Source organism: Homo sapiens, chromosome 18 (genome assembly GCF_000001405.40).
Source record: "Homo sapiens chromosome 18, GRCh38.p14 Primary Assembly".
NCBI classification, from domain to species: domain Eukaryota; kingdom Metazoa; phylum Chordata; class Mammalia; order Primates; family Hominidae; genus Homo; species Homo sapiens.
The window spans coordinates 22432610-22452614 of record NC_000018.10 but is presented as its reverse complement, the minus strand read 5'-3'; the positions used below and the strand labels follow the sequence as shown (position 1 = coordinate 22452614).

Sequence of the window (20005 nt, the reverse complement as noted above, 5' to 3'; positions counted from 1 at the left end):
GGCACATGCCTGTAGTATCAGCTACTGGGGAGACTGAGGTGGGAGGATTGCTTAAACCCAGGAGTTCGAGGCTGCAGTGAGCTATGATCGCACCACTGCACTCCAGCCTGGGAAACAGAATGAGACTGTAGAAAGAGAAAAGAAAAGAAAGAAAAGAGAAAAGGAAAGAAGAAAAGAAAGGAAAAGGAGGGGAGGGGAGGGGAAGGGAAGGGAGGGGAGGGAAAGAACTGGCTTGACAGATGGCCCGTCCCTCTAGGTGACCGCTTCCTTTATCTCAGGCCCCGTGCCCCTTGTTGCAAGCTGTCCTCCCTTAGCGTTAGCTCCAAGGGCTGTCAGGTGGACATGGATCCCCTGCCGTTTACGCAGGGCCTCTCTAGTTTTATTTTTAAAATCGTTTAGTGCCCCAGCCAAGCTGGGGGTGAGACTGGGTCTGGGGGCCTTCTTATTCCAAACCTAGTGCAGCATCTTGTGCCACTTGGCAGCTCCTGGAGGCTTTGTGACTCAATCAACACAAAAGGAACCTGTGGCTGATTTAGCTTCTGCTCTCCAAACCCTCCCTGGAGGAGCCCACCGCTGTTTTCATCTCAGCGGTCAGGAGACTTTGGCCAAAAGGAGAGCTGACCTGGTCTGACTATCGGCTCCCCCTTTGGGTGACCTTCAAGCAAACTTTCACTTACCCTCTTTTTTCTTCCTGTCCTCGCCTATAAAATGGGAGCCATGGGAATACTCCCATGGAGTCGTTCTGCAGAGGAAGTGAATTAGCTGAGCGAACCCCTGACTGCTCATGGTCTCCACTCGAAACACAAAGGCCCCCACCCCTTGGTGCTGCAGTGTGAAGTCCTAACTCCAATAAGGCTTACAAATGCTAGTGGTTTTTTTTGTTTTGTTTTGTTTTGCTTGTTATAATTTCAACTTTTATTTTAGATACAGGGGGTACATGTGCAGGTTTGTTACGGGAATACTGTGTGATGCTGAGGTTTGAGGTACAAATGATCCTGGCACCCAGAAAGTGAGCATGGTACCCAAGAGTTTTTCAACCCTTGTCCCCCTCTCTTCAGCCCCCCAATAGTCCCCAGTGTCTATTATTCCCATCTTTAGGTCCATGAGTACCCAATGTCTAGCTCCCACTTATAAGTGAGAACATGTGGTGTTTGGTTCTCTGTTCCTGTGTTAATTTGCTTAGGATAATGGCCTCCTGCTGCATCCGTGTTGCTGCAAAGGACATGACTTTGTTCTTTTTTTTTTTACGGCTTTGTAGTATTCCATGGTGTATATGCACCACATTTTTTTCACTTTTATTTTAAGTTCAGGGGTACAAGTGCAGGTTTATTACATAGATAATCTTGTGTCGTAGGAGTCTGTTGCACAGACTATTTCATCACCCAGGTATTAAGCCTAGTACCCATTAGTTATTTTTGCTACTCCTCTCCCTCCTCCCACCCTCCCCCCTCTGAAAGGCCCCAGTGTGTATTGTTCCCTCTATCTGTCCATGTGTTCTCATCATTTAGCTCCCACTTATAAGTGAGAACATACAGCATTTGGTTTTCCGTTCTTGTGTTAGTTTACTAGGGACAACGGCCTCCAGCTCCATCCATGTCCCTGCAAAAGACATGATCTTGTTCTTTTTTATGGTTGCATAGTATTCCATGGTGTATATGTACCACATTTTCTTTATCCAGTCTATCTCTGATGGACACTTAGGTTGATTCCATGTCTTTGCTATTGTGAATGGTGCTACAGTGAACATGCACATGCATGTGTCTTTATAATAGAATGATTTGTATTCCTTTGGGTATATACCCCGTAATGGGATTGCTGGATCAAATGGTATTTCTGTCTTTAGGTCTTTGAGGAATCGCCACACTGTCTTCCACAGTGGCTGAACTAATTTACACTCTCACCAACAGTGTATAGTGTTCCTTTTTCTCCACAACCTTGCCAGCATCTGTTATTTTTTGACTTTTTAATAGTAGCTATTCTGACTGGTGTGAGATGATATCTCATTGTGGTTTTGATTTGCATTTCTCTAATGATTAATGATGTTGAGCTTTTTCCCATACGTTTGTTGGCCACATGTATATCTTCTTTTGAGAAGTACCTGTTCATGTCTTTTGCTCACTTTTTAATGGGGCTGTTTTTTTCTTATAAATTTAAGTACCTTAAAGATGCTGGATATTAGACCTTTGTTGAATGCTTAGTTTGCAAACATTTTCTTCCATTCTGTTGGTTGTGTGTTTACTGTGTTGATATTTCTTTTGCTGTGCAGAAGCTCTTTAGTTTAATTACATCCCATTTGTCAATTTTAGCTTTTGTTGCAATTGCTTTTGGCATCTTTGTCATGAAATCTTGGCCCATGCCTATGTCCTAAATGGTATTGCCTAAGTTGTCTTACAGGATTTTTATAGTTTTGGATTTTACATTTATGTCTAATCCATCTTGAGTTAATTTTTGCATATCATGTAAGGAAGGAGTCTAATTTCAGTCTTCTACATAAGGCTAGCCAGATATCCCAGCCTCATTTATTGAATAGGGAATCCTTTCCCCATTGCTTGTTTTTGTCAGGTTTGTTTAAGATCAGATAGTTTTAGGTGTGCAGTCTTATTTCTGGGTTCTCTATTCTGTTCTATTGGTCTATGTGTCTGTCCTTGTACAAGTACCATGCTGTTTTGGTTACTATAGTACTGTAACATAGTTTGAAGTCAGGTAGTGTGATGCCTCCAGCTTTGTTCTTTTTGCTTAGGATTGCCTTGGCTATTCAGACTCTTTTTTGGTTTCACATGACTCTTAAAATAGTCTTTACTAGTTCTGTGAAGAATGTCAGTGGTAGTTTAATGGAAATAGTATTGCATGTATAAATTGCTTCAGGCAGTATGGCCATTTTACTGATATTGATTCTTCCTATTTATGAGCATGGAGTGCTTTTCCATTTGTTTGTGTCATCTCTGATTTCTTTAAGCAGAGGTTTATAGCTCTTTATGCAGAGATCTTTCACCTCCCTAGTTAGCTGTATTCCTGGGTATTTTAATCTTTTTGTGGCAATTGTGAATGAGAGTTCACTCCTGATTTGGCTCTTGGCTTGGTTGTTGCTGACGTATAAAAATGCTAGTGATTTTTGCACATTGATTTTGTATCCTGAGGCTTTGTTGAAGTTTAATCAGCTTCAGAAGCTTTGGGGCTGAGACAATGAGTTTTTCTAGATATAGGATCATGTCATCTGCAAACAGGGATAACTTGACTTCCTCTTCCAGTACTATGTTGAACAGGAGTGGTGAAAGAGGGCATCCTTGTCTTGTGCCTGTTTTCAAGGGGGAATGCTTCCAGCTTTTGCCCATTCAATATGATGTTGGCTGTGAGTTTGTCATAGATGGCTGTTATTATTTTGAGGTATGTTCTTTAAACATTTTGTTTACTGAAAGTTTTTAACATGAAGGGATGTTGAATTTTATTAAAAGCCTTTTCTGCACCTATTGAGATAATTATGTGGTTTTTGCCTTTAGTTCTGTTTATGCGATGATTCACATTTATTGATTTGCCTATGTTGAACCAACCTTGCATTCCAGAGATGAAGCTGACTTAATTGTGATGGATAAGCTTTTTGATTGCACCACATTTTCTTTATCCAATCCACCATTGATGGGCACTTAGGCTTATTTCATATCTTTGCTATTGTGAATAATGCCATGATGAACATATGAGTGAATGGTAGAACACTTTATTTTCTTTTGGATATATACCCAGTAATGAGATTGCTGGGTCAAATGGTATTTCTGTTTTCAGTTCTTTGAAAAATCTCCAACTGCTTTCCACAGGGGCTGAACTAATGTACATTCCCACCAGCAGTATATAAGTGTTCCCTTTTCTCCTCAACCTCATCAGCATCTGTTGTTTTTTGACTTTTTAGTAATAGCCATTCTGACGGGTGTGAGGTGGAATCTCATGGTGGTTTTGATTTGCATAAATGCTAGTGTTAAGATTGTCATCTCTGCTAGTTTCCCCACCATCCCTGCTGTTGCATGGCCATATTCTTCATTTTATAGAATATTGAATGTCATTTATTTCAGACCTGACCATTCCTTGATTGGCCTCATTGTACAGATCAGGGAAGAGGATCCCATAAAGTTGCCCAGGGCAGGCCTAACCTACAGGCAGGGCTGGGATTAGACTCCAAGGGTGGGGTTTTCCAAACAGTGCTGTGTTCTGTGGTAGCCAGTCATCTGGGTTTGCTGGGGTCTCTCACAGTGTTAACACTGAAAGTCCCTCTCTCAGAAAACCCCTTAGTCCCCAGCAAATCAGGACAGTTAGTCACCTTAAGCCTCTGGTATTTGTGAGCTTTGTCACTTTATTAATCAAAAGAGTATATTTGCTGTGCTTTTTACACAGCTTTTTACAGTGGGGAAGAAACTACCAATGCCAAGCTTGCATATCGGCAATTATTTTAAGCCACTGCCATCTAAAAATTCATAAAATAAACATTTTCAATTAGCCAAGCTGCTTTATTTTTAATACTTTACTTACATGTCATATCTCATTAGTTTATTCCAAATCTAATGAGTAATCTGTTGCTGGCTGTTCAGAAGAAGGAAATGCACTTTGAAGTTGACTGAGAGTGATTTCAACACTGTTAATAAAGAAATTCCACAAAGTTCTAACTAACTTTTGGGAGTAGCTTACAATCCATCAGACTTAATCCTCTATGTTTGAAAATGTTTGGCCCTCTGGAAAACATTATGAGGAGCTTTTGTGGTAGAGCGCACCGATGGAGTGGAAGTGCTATGCAAACTAAAACATCAAACGATGCATTAATCCTAACATCTTACTACAGTGCTCGTTTTTTTTTTTTTTTTTTTTTTGGAAGGAAGTGGATAAATCTAAGACTTCACTTAGACTGAAATATGCAGATACTCAAGAAAAGTGATTATTGTTCCCCTTGTTTCAATCTGTAATGAATGTTTATTGCATGCTTAATAGAGGCTTGTCCCAGGTATTGGCCATTGAAGTAAATTATATTGAAACAGACAGAGAATGGCTACTATCCTCATGGAGCTCCAGTCTAGTGGAAAAGAGAAAATTATATAATTACACAAATAGGGATGGCATTATAATGGTGATAAGTGCTTTAAAGCAGAGTGCTGGGTGCCCTGGGACTGTCTAGCAGTGTACCAAATCTAATCTGAGAAAATGACATTTAAATATAAATCTCAAGGATCAGTTAACCAGGTTCAGACTTTGGAAAATGGCATTCCATGTACAGAGACTAGCATGGATAAAGGCCCTGAGGTAGAGAAAGGGGTTGGCATATATTAAGATACTGAAAGAAGGCCATTGGGCCACTGACTTGATAGTAGCGGGAATAACATTTTAATTCTACAGCTGGAGATAACAACGACTTTGTGAACTCTACAAGCAATCAGAGCCTCTTTGGTAGTTCCACCAATGCCACACCCTTGCAGTAAGAGCTTCCAGTCAGTCCCAGTGACGTCATGGTGTTACCATTCCTGAAGACCTTGACATTATCAACTTCCTCAAGCTGTAACTGAGGCTCAACAGGGACAAGGCTTACCAAAACGCACACAGCCAGTCAGAGGCAGTGGAAATTGTGAGTGAGGTCCCTTGATCTGAAGTTCAAAGGCCTTTCCACAGCTCCTCTATTGCCCTCATCTTAAGACAAATTTTTCTTCTGGAGTCTTCCACTCCCAGAGCCCATTTGGATTTGCTGACCAGAAGAACACCTTTTCCCTCCTTTTCTCAGTGCTCCCAGCACCATGAGAGTCTGCCATTGGTGCAGTTCCTTTGCTGCCCGAGATGCTGTCCTCCACAATTGGTAGCAACACCCCAGCACCTGCAGGGGTGGTTGCGTCTCCAGTGGGAGCCTCAAAAGAATTTCTTGCAAAATCACCATCCTTGGTTCTCCTCCCGGCTACTATTTGGAGGCCGCCATTCATTTCGTTTGTAGTAGCCACGATGGGAATTGTCATAAATTCATTTGCTTTGAAAATCACTCACCACTTCATCATCCTCTGGGGCTCTGCTGCTCATCAGAGCCCAGTCTCAATGTTCCTCCTCACCCTGTTGCCATGGGTGACCCAACCACACAGTCACCATACACTGCGTTAGGATAGTCCCTTGTCATTCACTATCACAGAATGGATGGCAGGAAAACTCCACAGGCTCTCAGACATACGTCACTGGGAAAGCTTTGAGCATCAGATTAAAAAAAATTTTTTTTTAAAAAAAGAACAATCTTGCCTTTGAATGTAATGTATCCCTGCAAGGAAACCCTGGTACATGTTGTCCCACCGAGAGAGACAGGTGGGGGCCACTGCACTTTCTGGTTGGAAAGGGCTGGCTGCCAACACTTCTTAAGGATATGTGTCACTTTGTGGTATCCCTATTTCCCTCCCCAATAAAATAACAATTTGGAAGGGTTTGAGATGAAGAGAGTAAATCAATACCAGATTACAAAAGTTGCAAAAATGTTCCACCAATTCATCAAACTGCATCTGAGGGCTTGAGAACTGCCCTGGGAAAGAAGCACCCCCATACTTTGGGAAATCAATGGGCACCCCAACATTCTTGTCAAGTAACAAAAAGCCACAGAGGAGCAAGATTTGTTTTTAATCTTCAAGGTGATTATGTAAATGTTATGAAAGTAAGAATATTTCTGCAAGACTGTGCTTTTGAAATTGCTCTTTCAGCAATCTTTCAATGTTGCCATGCTGGGTCTGGAGAGTCAGGGCCCTGTTGGAGTTTCCTTATAAATCTTAGAAATAGAGGGCAAGGTGAGTAATGTCACTAACACATTCTTACTATTCTTACTAAACTTTTAAAGTCAGAATAATTTCTAAGTGTAAGATCAATTTATCTTTAAGCCATCACTATAAACAAGTTGATTCCCATACAACATGGACCCTTATTGAAAAGAAATAATACCTCCTTTCAAGGCTGAATTTAATTTTCAAGGTAAGACAGAATCTGTGAATATAAACAACTGCTATTAAGGAATGATGCACATCCCAATTTTGAGGAATTTTGTAATAATCCTTATAGAAGAGCTGAATGAGATTCGCCTTGTAGTAACATGAATACCTAGTGGGTTCATTAACTTACTATAAAGCATCTTGGAGAAAAGCAGCAAAAAATTGCTACTGGAAAGGAAATTAACTGGGCCATAGCCACACAGGGCTGTCAATGGCCACTCACAGTAAGCTGGCTTGAGAACTGACTGCATCTCCAAACCTAGGCTATCTAGCATAATGGCACATCCACCCAGAAATGTCCAACACAGTCCTATGATGCCAGTCTGAAAGAGAGATTTTCCGTACCTATTCTCATTTATTTTCTTCATTCTCATTATCTTTCTTCTCCTCATTCTTCTCACCTTCAAAAAAGTTTTAGAAGTTGCTGATTTTCTTATTGATTACTGAAAATATAAAGTGGTTCTCTGAAATAATATTTTAATATTGTACTTCACATTATTTTTAATGTTTAGCATTAGTGCATACCTTTTCTTCCAGATTAACTTTAAAATTACTTCTGCAAGTTCCTCCTCCAATGTCATGGGATATCAATCTACTTTTATGGATATTAAGTTAAATACATAATGTAAAGATACACATTTATTCATCTAATATATAGATATCTATTTTTTAGATGAATTAACTGAGCCTCAGAGAGTTAAAATTACTTCTTGCTAAAGATCACACAGCCAGCATTTTCAGAGCCAAAATTTAAACACAGGTCTGTCTGATGCCAATTAAAATGAGCATATAAATTATTTTTAATATAAAAATCTGAAACCATTTTATTATTTTAGATAATTACAGAGTTCTATGTATGATTGAGTCATAAGGAACAGATTTGTCATTGACAATTACTATAATCATACCAGTAAGGCACTTAAATAATCTTTTAATTAGTAAAATAGAGAATCATCTTGAAATGTGTCACATAAAAATGCACATTAATATATTCTGATTATGATTTTGGTGAAATAAGAAAGTACTGGCTGGGTGCAGTGGCTCATGCCTGTAATCCCAGCATTTGGGGAGGCCGAGGCGGGTGGATCACATGAGGTCAGGAGTTGGAGACCAGCCTGACCAACATGGTGAAAGCCTGTCTCTACTAAAAATACAAAAAATTAGCCAGAAGTGGTGGTGGGCACCTGTAATACCAGCTACTCAGGAGGATGGGGCAGGAGAATCACTTGAACCTGGGAGGCGGAGGTTGCAGTGAGCCAAGATCATACCATTGCTCTCCAGCCTGGGTGACAAGAGTGAGACTCCGTCTCAAAAAAAAAAAAAAAAAAAAAAAAAAAAAGTATTGAAATATTCACCAAAACTAGTTTTTAACAAAAAGTCAAAACAAAACAAATGACCAGGTAAGGCCATCTGATTTCAGCTTAGTATGTATTCATCTAGGTAAGAATATACCAAAAGGACAGTAGAGTAGAAGTGATTCTGTTATTATTGTGATTACATTAATGTTCATATTTACAGAATACTTTTGTTCACATTGTTTCATTTGATTCTGTTTTACAGATAGATAGTAAAAAGACTCAAGAGAAGATTAGTTACTCCTGAAAGGTAATGGTACCAGTAAGAGGAAACTGATATCAAGACTTGTACACTGATCTTCTTACTTTAAAATTGTCTTCAAACATAGATTTTTTAAAAAAACAGACAGTATTTTTTAAAGCAGTTTTAAGTTCTGCAAAATTTAGCAGAAAGTACACAGTTCCCATATACACACATGCGCACCTTTCCCCCTGCCCCTGCCTTCCCCCGCGCACTATCAGTATCTCTCACTAGAGTGGTACATGTGTTACAGTGGAGGAATATTCATTGACACATCACTACCGAAAGCCCATCATTTACCTGAGGGTTCACTGGTTGTATTGCACAGATTTTTAGATTTTGACAAATACATAATGGCATGCATCCACCATTGTAGTTTCACACAGAGTAATTTCACTGCCCTAAAAATCCTCAGTGCTCCACTTACTCATTCCTCTCCTTTTTCCCTTTCCTACCCCACCCAATCACCTTGTAACCACTAATCTTTTTGCTGGCTCTATGGTTTTATCTTTTCCAGTATGTACAATCGTACAGTATGTAACCTTTTCAGACTAGCTTCTTTCACTGAGAAATATGCATGTAAGTTTCCTTCATGTGTTATCATGGCTTGATAGCTCATTTCCTTTTAGCACTGAATAATATTCCATTGTATGGATGTACGACAGTTTGTTCATCTGTTCACCTATTTAAGAATGTTTTGGTTGCTTCTGATTTCTGGCAATTATGAATAAAGCTGCTGTAAACATCTGTGTGCAGATTTTTGAGTGGACATAAGTTTTCAACTCATTGAATAAATACCAAAGAGCATAATTGCTGAATTTTACATTAAGAGTATATTTAGTTTTGTAAGGAACTGCCAAACTGTTTTCCAAAGTGGCCATACTATTTTGCATTCCCACTAGCAATAAATGAGTGTTCCTGTTGCTTCACTTCCTCACCATCATTTCATGTCAGTACTTTGGATTCCTGCCATTCTGATAGGTGTGTAGAAGTATATAATTTTTGTCTTAATTCACAATTCCCTAACAGCATATGATGTGGAGCATCTTTTCATATGTTTATTTACCATCTATATATTTTCTTTGCTGTAATGTTTGTTCAGATCTTTTGCCCATTTTAAAATCAGTTTGTGTGTTTTCTTATTGTTGAGTTTTAAGGGTTCTTTGTATATTTTGGATAATAGTTCTTTATCAGATATGTCTTTTGCAAATATTTTCCCCCAGTCTGTGGCTTGCCTTCTCATTCTCTTGACAGTGTCTTTTGCAGAGCAGAAGTTTTTAATTTGAATAAAATCTAGCTTATCTGTTATTTTTTTCATGAATCATGGCTTTAGTGATGTATCTTAAAAGTCATCTTCAAACTCAGTATCATTTAGATTTTCTCCTGTTATCTTCTCAGAGCTTTATAGTTTTGTATTTTACAGTTAGATCTGTGATTTTTTTTTTAGTTAATTTTCGTGAAGTTTATAAGGTCTGTGTCTGGATTCTTTTTTAAAATTTTTAAATTTTTAAAAATTTTCCCCTCCTCTCCTCTATTCTTTTTTCTCTAAAGAGGATTTCCAGTTGTTCCAGCACCATTTGTTAGAAAAACTATCTTTTCTGCATTGTATTGCCTTTGCTTCTTTGTCAAAGATCAGTTGAATATGTTTGTGTGGGTCTATTTCTGGGCTCTTTATTCTGTTCCATTGATTTATTTGTCTCTTCTTTCACCAGCACCACACTGTGCTGATTACTGTAACTTTACAGTAAGTTTTCATGTTTGGTAGTGTTAGTTCTCCAATTTTGTTCTCCTTCAGTATTGTGTTGTCTATTCTGGGTCTTTTTCCTCTCCATATAAACTTTAGAATTAGTTTTTTGATAGCCACAAAAAATACTTGCTGGGAGTTTGACTGGGATTGTATTAAATCTGTAGATCTAGTTGGGAAGAATCAACATCTTGATAATAGTGAGTCTTCCTATCCATGAATATGGGATATCTCTCCACTTAGTTCTTTGATTTCTTTCATCAAAGTTTTTTCTCATATAGGTAATAAATATGTTTGCTAAATTTGTACCTAAGCATTTCTTATATTTTCCTCTGTAAATTTTTGTAGTTTTTCTCATATGGACACATTTCTTTAAGCTTATTCATAGGTGCATTATATATTTTGGCTGCCACACATTCACTTTTCAAATATCCAATAACTTACTTGGTAGCAGGCCCCCTATTGGTAGCAGGTATTGGTGATTCTATGGGAAACAAAAATAGATTTGGTAACTGCCCTTATAACATTTACAGTCAAGTAGAGGATGCACATACTAACAAATATCACATAATGTAAAACATAACTGTGATATAAGCTGTAAAGGAGAAGTAAATAGTAATATAAGATTATATAATAAGGAAATTTGACCTGGGAAGGTCAACACAGATTTCTCTGAGGAAAGGACAATTGACCTTTGAAGGATCAGGCTTCAAAGAAGAAAGAAAACTATATTCCAGGCAGAGGGAAGAGTTACGTGCAAAGGTGAGGTGGGAAAGCAGTACAAGTTTCTGGGGGAAAAAATGAGAGCACATAGAATGAGAAGGAGTGTGCTACTGGTTGAACTTGGTAAGGATAGCTTAACCTTCTAGGGTCTGGGTGTGGGTCTTTAATCTAGGAGTGATACGGAGCCACTGGGGGATTTTAGGCAGAGATCACTTGATAAGATTTGCTTTTCAAAAAATTTCACATTGCTGGTGGATGAAAACTCATCAGAGGTGGCATGAGTAGATGTGGCAAGACACAAATGAGGCTGTGGCCTTGTATGTGCATAAATATGTACATGTATATGTGTTGAATTTCTCAAATCAATTAGAATGCCACCTTATTCTTTCCCACAACAGGCCCTTCAAATCTGTTCTTTTGACTTGTTTTTTTCCATTGCTAGCTTAATCACAAGCATGTCTATAGTTATCTGGTCATTTTTTACATAATAGAAGTTCAGCCCTATAAAATAAATGCATAGCTTAAATTTGTGGTCTAATCAAAAACATGTTGATATAATTTGGGTGTTTATTTGTCCCTGCCCAAATCTGATGTTGAAATGTAATCCCCAGTGTTGGAGGTAGGGCCTGGTGAGAAGTGTTTGGATCATGGGGGTGGATTCCTCATGAATAGCTTGGGCCATCCCCTGGATGATGATTGAGCTCTTGTTCTGAGTTCGCATGAGATCTGGTCATTGAAGTGTGTGCCCCACCCCCACTCACTCTCTTGCTCGTGCTCTGCTTTCTGAGGCACTGACTTTCCCTTTGGCTTCCATGAGTAAAAGCTCCCTGAGGCCTCCCCAGAAGCTGAGCAAGTTCTGTCACAAAGCTCCCTGTACAGCTGACAGAACCATGAGCCTATTAAACCTCTTTTCTGTATAAATTACCGCAGCCTCGGGTATTTCTTTATGGCAATGCAAGAATGGCCTAATACACATGTCTCCTTCCCCAGTGGTTTGGAAACCTGCAGTGGAAATAGGCACTTTGGCCAACTTCTTTTCCCATGTCTGGCTCCACCAACTCACCTATTTGCAAGCTATTGTTTTAACCATCTCCAAGGTTGGGCACAGGCTAGGAGTTAGGGGAAAGTAGGAATAGAGAGGACAGCTAAAGGACAGAAAAGTCTTACCTGGCTGGTGCAGTTGTAACCTAGAATAGATGCCCTCTGCATATAGCAGACTCCTTATGAAGATGCACTCTTTTTTGGGGTGTTCCTATGAGGTCCTTAGGGTCCTCTCCTCTGTAATTCTCCTTGACTATTGCTAGGATCTCTCACATACAGCTACCTTCACATAGGCAGTGCTCCTCTTACTGGCTGCTAATGACTAGCACCATGAATTCCAGGAGTTTGTCTCTCTGTTAGGAGTCACATATGACCAACATAGTTCCTCTCAAAATGATATAATCCAGCTTCATTCTTTGGACCCAATATTTGGCCCATAGGAAATTTACACGTTCTTTCCCCTTCCCAACTGAGGAAGTCAAGCTTTTCTAATCAACTTCTTCCCTTGGCTTTGTTATCTTGGAGCTCCTGGCCAGTCATAGCCTCTTACCTTTACTCTTTTCAGGGATCAATCAGATACCAGGCCTGTCTCTCTCTAACCAGGGGACCCATGTCAAGCTTTTCAAATAGTACTCTTAAAACCCTACTTCAAAGACTCTCTCTTTTTCTTCCATGGGTGAAATACATGGCCCATTAGCCATTCTTTAAAAAGAAAAGAAAAGAAAAAAAAAACCTCAACACAGACCTCTTTAATTACAATGAATTCTTTGTCTTCTCTTTTATATCCTAGAGGGGAGTGATGGGCCAATTCTGGCAGAGGGTTTCACAATTTCTTAGCCTGTCCTGCATGGACAGTCTAGTGCCACCCAAGAGGTGCAGGATGGGGAGATATTAAACAACTCTTGTATTTGTTCTCAGATTTGGGGGACATAGCTGAAACTCTGAGTCAACAGGAAAGTCCCATCTTAACATAGTATTATACATATGTCATGAGCTCCTACTGGTAGCTCTTCAGTACATTATAATTTAAGTTATGTACCTTGGCAAAATAAATTTGGAAAACACTCTATTGTTTTGCTTTTAAATATGATGTAAGCTACTGGGTTGAGATAATTTTTTAATCATTTTGAGAGACTATTCTATATGTAATTTGTTTAACTTCTATCAGAAATGGATGATGAATTTTGTTAAATGTCTTTTAACATTTATTAAGGTGAACATAAAGTTTCTCTCTTTTGGCCTATTGATGGAATCAATGACATTTCTAGATTTTCTAGTATTAAGTCATTCATGGTTTTCTAGAGCATTAATCCTTTAACGTGATGCTAGATTAGATTTGCTAGTGTTTTTTAAAAATGTTTTGTATCTGTAGTCATAAGCAGGCTTGGCCAAAAATGTTTTGTGCCATCTTTGTCAGGTTTCACTATATGCTAGCTTTTTAAAGAAAATGTAAGGAATTCCATATTTTATTTAAATTATAGCTCTCTTTACAATTTTTTAGTTGAAGTCATATATGTATAGAAAAGTATATATATCAACTAATTTTCACAAAGTAAACACAGCTGAGTAACAAGTATCTCCAACACTCCCTCTTTTACTACCTATCCCCCAGAAGGGTAACCACTACTCTTATTTTTAACAGCATAGGCTAATTTTATCTGTTTTTATATTTTATCTGAAGGGACTCATACATATGTATTTTTCTGTGGTTTTCTTTAACTCAATATTATGTTTGTGAGATTCAGTCTTATTATTGTGTGTGACTGTATATAACTCATTCTGTTCAAAATATAATATTCTGTTGTGTGAATATACCAAAAATTACTTCTTAATTCTGCTACTGATGGCATTTGGGTTGTTTTCAGTTTGAGGCTATTACAAATGCTGTTTTTGGCCGGGCGCGGTGGCTCACGCCTGTAATCCCAGCACTTTGGGAGGCAGAGGCGGGCGGATCATGAGGTCAGGAGATCGAGACCATCCTGGCTAACACAGTGAAACCCCGCCTCTACTAAAAATACAAAAAATTAGCCGGGCGTGGTGGCGGGCGCCTGTAGTCCCAGCTACTCGGGAGGCTGAGGCAGCAGAATGGCGTGAACCCTGGAGGCGGAGCTTGCAGTGAGCCGAGATCGCGCCACTGCACTCCAGCCTGGGCGACAGAGCGAGACTCCGTCTCAAAAAAAAAAAAACAAAACAACAACAACAACAAAAAAAAACCAAATGCTGTTTTTATGAACATTCTAGTACATGTTGTTTCTTTAAATATATGCACATATCTCTGTTGGGTATATACTTAGGAGTAGAATTGCTCTTAACTAATGCATATTGGTTGTTGGTCATTTTCTGATTGTTTTGTGGAAGTCTTGTGTATATTTAGGATGCAAAGTAAAAGGATGAAAAAGATATATCATAATATATCATACAATCAGTAACCATAAGAAGCTAGAGTGGCTATGCTGATATTGGAGAAGACAGACTTTAAAACAAAAATTTTCACTAGGGACAAATAAGAACATTTTACAACACTTAAAGGGTCAATTCATCAGGAAGATGTGACAATTTTAAACATACGTGCACCTAACAACAGAGCCCCCAGATATACAAAGCAAATATAGACAGAATGGATAGAAGGAAAAATAGATAATTCACAAGTAATAATTGGAGACTTATACACCCCACTTTCAGAAATAGATAGAAAAACTAGAAAGAAGATCAACAAAGAATAGATGACTTTGATATAGGAGTGAACCTTCATGACTTGAGGTTAGGCAAAACCTTCTTAATTAAGACACTAAAACCACAAGTGACAAAAAAAGGCAAATTAAGTTTCATAAAAATTTAAAACTTTATTGTTTCAAAGAAGATCATCAAGAAAGTGAAAAGATAACCCGCACAATGAGAGAAAATATTTGCAAATCGTATATCTGAAAAAGGGCTTGTATTTAGAATATATAAAGAACACCTACAACTCAATAATAAAAAGAAAAAATAACCCAGTTGAAAAATGGGCAATGAATCTGAGCAGACATCCCTTCAAAGGTGATATACAAATGGCCATTAAATACGTGAAAAGACACTCAACATTCTTAGTCATAAGAGAAATGCAAATCAAAACCACAATGAAATAACACTTCATATCCACAGAAATGGCTATAATTAAATAAAAATATAAATAATAGCAAATGTTGACAAGGATGTAGAGAAATTAGAGCCCTTGTATATGGCTAATGATAATGAAAATAGTGCAGCCACTTTGGAAAACAGTCTGGCAGTTCCTCAAAGTGTTAAACATATAATTACCATGTAACCCAGCAATTCTACTCCTAAATACACATGTAAGAAAAATGAAAACACACATGTACATAAAAACATAAGTTTTATGTACATTGTTCATAACAGCACACAACCAAAATGGCAATCAACTGATGAATGGATAATTTGTTGTATATCTATGCAATGAAATGTTGTTCAGCAATAACACAGAATGAAATACTGATACATGCTACATCATCAATGAACAAAACCTTATGTCCAGTGAAAGAAGCCAGTCACAACTGACCACATATTGTATAATCTCATTTACAGGCAATGTCCAGATTATGCAAATCCGTAGGACAGAAAGTAGATTCATGGTTGCCTGGGTTTGGGAAGTTTGAGGAGGGGAAGATGGAGAATGATTGCTAATTGCAAGATTTCTCTTATGGGTAATGAAATATTCTAAGCTTGATTTTGATAATGGTTGTACAACTCTGAATACACTAAACACCATTGAATTGTACACTTTAAATGTGTGAATTGTATGATATGTGGATTATAACCCTTTAAAGCTGCTAAAAAAGAACAATTTTGATCTTAAGCCATTCAAGCTTACATTCTTTAAAGGATTATTATTCTTTTATATTTCCCACAGTGCTCAGAATACACTGCTAAGTGGTTAATAAATGCTACTGAATTGAGTAAAACGTTTAGTGAAACTGGACTGACTGATTCAACAGGGTGCTTTTAGATTTCTCCTGTGCACAGAGAATTAGACCATCCCATGGGCTTGCTATGATGAAGAACAGAACCCTTCCCTGGGATAGATGAAAAGGAGAATCACCCCAAACAACAAGACAACCAAGCTACGAGCAGGCACGCTCCTATCTGCATGACTGATAAAGACCATCTGATGCCGCCAGTTACTCAGTGAGGCCATTCTCTAGGCAAAGTCACAATATTTATTTTAACACCAGTGACTATTGAGTGTGTGTGTATATCTATGTAGTGATAAAACACTGCTGTAATATGTACACAGGATCTGAACAAGATCAATTCATCAGGACCATCATGCAGTCTACATATGAGAGAGGTTGTTTATGTAGTGGGTTGATAGAATACCGTGATACAAGCCACAGAAAAGCACTGTCTGATGTTCATAATGCATGCTATGTATTTCACAATATGGGCATTATGTAAATAATTAATAGCATGGACTAGAGATAGCATTGATAGGAAGGAGAGAGACAGCATGCAAGAAAGTCTGCTCAAATACGCTAATGAGTAGGATAGAAATATTTCACCAAGCACATCACACATTTTAGGGACTCTTGTTATCAAGCATTGTCTTGTGGGATGGCTGATTTTTCTTCTCAATGACTGCCAGTCCTACAGATACAATTTTGAAGTATTTTATTTGTAAATTTAAAAAGCTGTTTCCACTGTCTATGTGTATGAAAGTCAATGTGGAAAGAAATTGCCCCATGAAATAGGACAATAAAATGCAACTATTTGAACTGCTTAGATGCCAGTCTTTTTCTCAGAAATGTTCTATTCAGGAATACAGTAAGCTTAATTGGCAAGATATTGACTAGCCTATATGTAATTTATCTTTCAACCATTACTCAGTGTTTCCCCAAGTACCCTGTTGTCTACCTAGAGAGGAGCACTGTACTGATGAGCTGGAGCTCAGGTCCCCAAGGATGTCTCCTTTTCCTAATACATATATATTAATTCCCATTAACCTCATTTAGAGTAAGGAGTAATGTGGGCATGAAGAGGAGGCCAGACAGCCAGATGGCTGTGAGTGTCTGTTACGGTATATGAGTAACTCTTCCCACTATTCAGCCTTTATTTAACCAATGAATTCACATGATGAGTAACTCATTTTTGAGGACTGGTTTGCTTTCCTCCAGGATAACTGACAAAGACATGAACTCTCTCATACCCTTTCCTAGAGCTAGAAGTTACGAAAGCTGTGAAAGACACTGAAAAAAGGTAACTCTCCAAGTGAAGGCAGCCATTTACAGAGGGAAAGTGCACCGGAGGAGCATTTGTGAAAGTGCAGTCACCAGCAATAGCCCAGTGAGCTTCCCTCCCAAAACGGAGAGGCCAATGAATCATGGCTGCTCCCTGTCCATCAACACCCCGCCTCACCCCCACCCACTTAGACCTTGGTGGAAATGGCAAGAAAACCAAACAGCTATTTATACATTTCTTTTTGAAGTCCTAAAACTCAGTGGTGGCATCAATTGACTTCTCTCTTCAACTCTCAACCCTTAAGGAATAAAAAAGAGGAATCAGCTGATGGCCATCTCTGAGGCTGACCCAGAGAGTTAAGGAGACTGCTGGCCTCACCTCCTCTGTCTTTAGGTGTTCAGGGAACACAGCTCTAGGGCTTCAGGATTTGCAGTGATTATTTAGGTCCTCTGATTAGAGGCAGGGTTGGAGTCTCTTCAGTAAAATCATCGTGTCCGGCTTCTAGAAAAATTATTATTGCAACCCTTTGAACAAGAAAAAAAACCCCTCTATTTTTAATTTAAACAATAAAGCAAAGAACTTGAAAGTATATCTCAGAGTGGTGTTAAGAAGCCAAGAAGTGTTAAGAAGTGGTGGTGGTGTTAAGAAGCCAAGAAGATGGTGGCCGACTGGGTCAAACGGCACTGTGAGCACAAGGCAGATGCAGGTGGAAAAGTGTGTTTTGTGATCCTGTTGGTATGAATGATTTCTCTCCCAGAAGAGTAGCTTGGTGGATCCATCTTAGGCTGGGGGTTTCCAGGCAAGTACAATGGAGGGAGAGAAACAAGAGAGCTTTGAGGGTGCTTGTGAAGATGGAGCCAACCATTAATTAAGCCATGAATTAATTAAGCCATGAAAGGAAGGATGAGAGAACATGGGGACCTGATGAGTAATAAGAAAATTAGGGAGTTAGTGAAGTGGCCGTCGTGGGTTCATTTAAACCTCAAAATAACCCCACAGTGTTACCGGGGATTAAAGAGATTAACTTGCCCAAGGTCACAAAGCTAATAAAAAGCAGATTGCAGATTTCAACTTGCTTTGTCTGACATGAAATCTAGTGTGTGAGGCACCACTATACATATCCACAGACACTGTAACTTCCCTTCCGCCTCTGGGTAATGTGCCAATTCCAGTCTACCGTAACTGAAACCAGCAGGGGAGAGTTCCAAGTGTGGACTAGGCCGAACTGATCCAACTACAAGACAATCTCCCTTTGGGGTGTCCCGATCCCACTGTGAGGTATGATCCTCTCACCCAGAGCATGTCTACAGAGCATCAAGTAACAGGATGGCTGAGAAAGTCCACATTTTATATGAAGCTTTTCTGTTTTAAAAATCTTTCAGCACTGTGTGTGCATACAATCATTTTTAATTATAGTTTTTAGCTCCTAAAAACTATAATGCATATATATGCTTTGGGATTATAGCCATCTGTTCTAAGTCTCACAATATATTCCAGATATAAAAAATAAAACATAAAACAAAATTTGAAGAAGTCAAGCCAGAGTTTGTAGTTGCATAAAAAGTCTCTTACTTGCTTGATGAATGATAGTGACTTATGGAATTATTTAACATCTTCATCCAGGTGTTTTTTTTTTTCCCATTAATAATAGTATAGCAGCTCAGATAGTTTACCAATCTAAGATCATTTTAATGGTGATGTGTTACTTTTCTCTTGCTTTGGATATTTAAAGCAAGATTTGCAAAGTTGTTTGTTCGTTTGTTTTTGCAGTTCCGTACTTTTTAGTCTTTGGGATGCCCCTCATGAGCAAAGTGTTAAAGGAGAACCCTGTTTCTCTATGTAATTGTAAATGCATAAGCTTGTAGCATCTCAGACTTAGAACCACATTGGAAATCTGGTCGGCGTCCCACGGGGTACAGGAAGCCTCCAGGAGGGGTCCCTGACAGCAGTTACCAGATTCTTCTTAGCCACTTCTGACAACAAACTGCGGAGGCTTAGCCCATCTTTTAACTGCTCTGATTACAGCTCCCAGGGAGGAGACAAACCTTTAAGAGGTCTTCCTAAACCTAAGTGTCCCCCTTGCAGGTCACTTCAGGATATAACTGAATCCAAATTATTAACTAAAGATGTAACGTGTTTTCTCTACTCCCAACCGCTCTCCAAGAAATGTCTTGACTTGCAGCTGCTACCAGAAAGAAAAAGCGAGAACGCCGGTGGCGCCTTCTCACGGACTCTATCAGAGCATGGATAGATTGTGTGCCCTGGGGGGCTGATGTGGACAGGAACACCAGGTTCTCCCTCGTTTGTTCTTTATCTGTACTTACTGCACGTTTTTCTGCCATGGACTTTTTATTATTCTAAATTGTGAGTGAGATAATAGTTGGTTTCTCAAAGTGCAAAGGCTAAACCTACTGATAAACTTCAGCCGCTACCAAAGGATAAACGCCACCCAAACTGCCAAAACAATCATGACCTCACTTCCTGCATGGAGTCTGAATGCTTCACCAGAAACTCAGAGAACCCGGCAGGCAAGGCTCTGGCACGGGTCACAGGCAGAGATCAATGAGTCATCCAAGCCGTTCCTTGGCCAATTCTTTTAAGGAAGGAAGATATGGAGCAAGTTATTTTGCTCCATCTCCCGTATCACTACTTGTGTCTCGGGAGACTTTGCTATCATCAAGCCTTTCAAAGA

At 38.9% G+C, this 20005-nt stretch overlaps 1 annotated feature.

Annotated features, from left to right (window-relative positions):
• Positions 209–374: a silencer, noted in NCBI's record as "fragment chr18:20032204-20032369 (GRCh37/hg19 assembly coordinates)". NCBI's record gives its function as "represses an EF-1alpha promoter that drives an FKBP-Casp9 reporter gene in an ReSE screen in K562 erythroleukemia cells {active_cell/tissue: K562}" and the evidence as "EXISTENCE:reporter gene assay evidence [ECO:0000049][PMID:32094911]".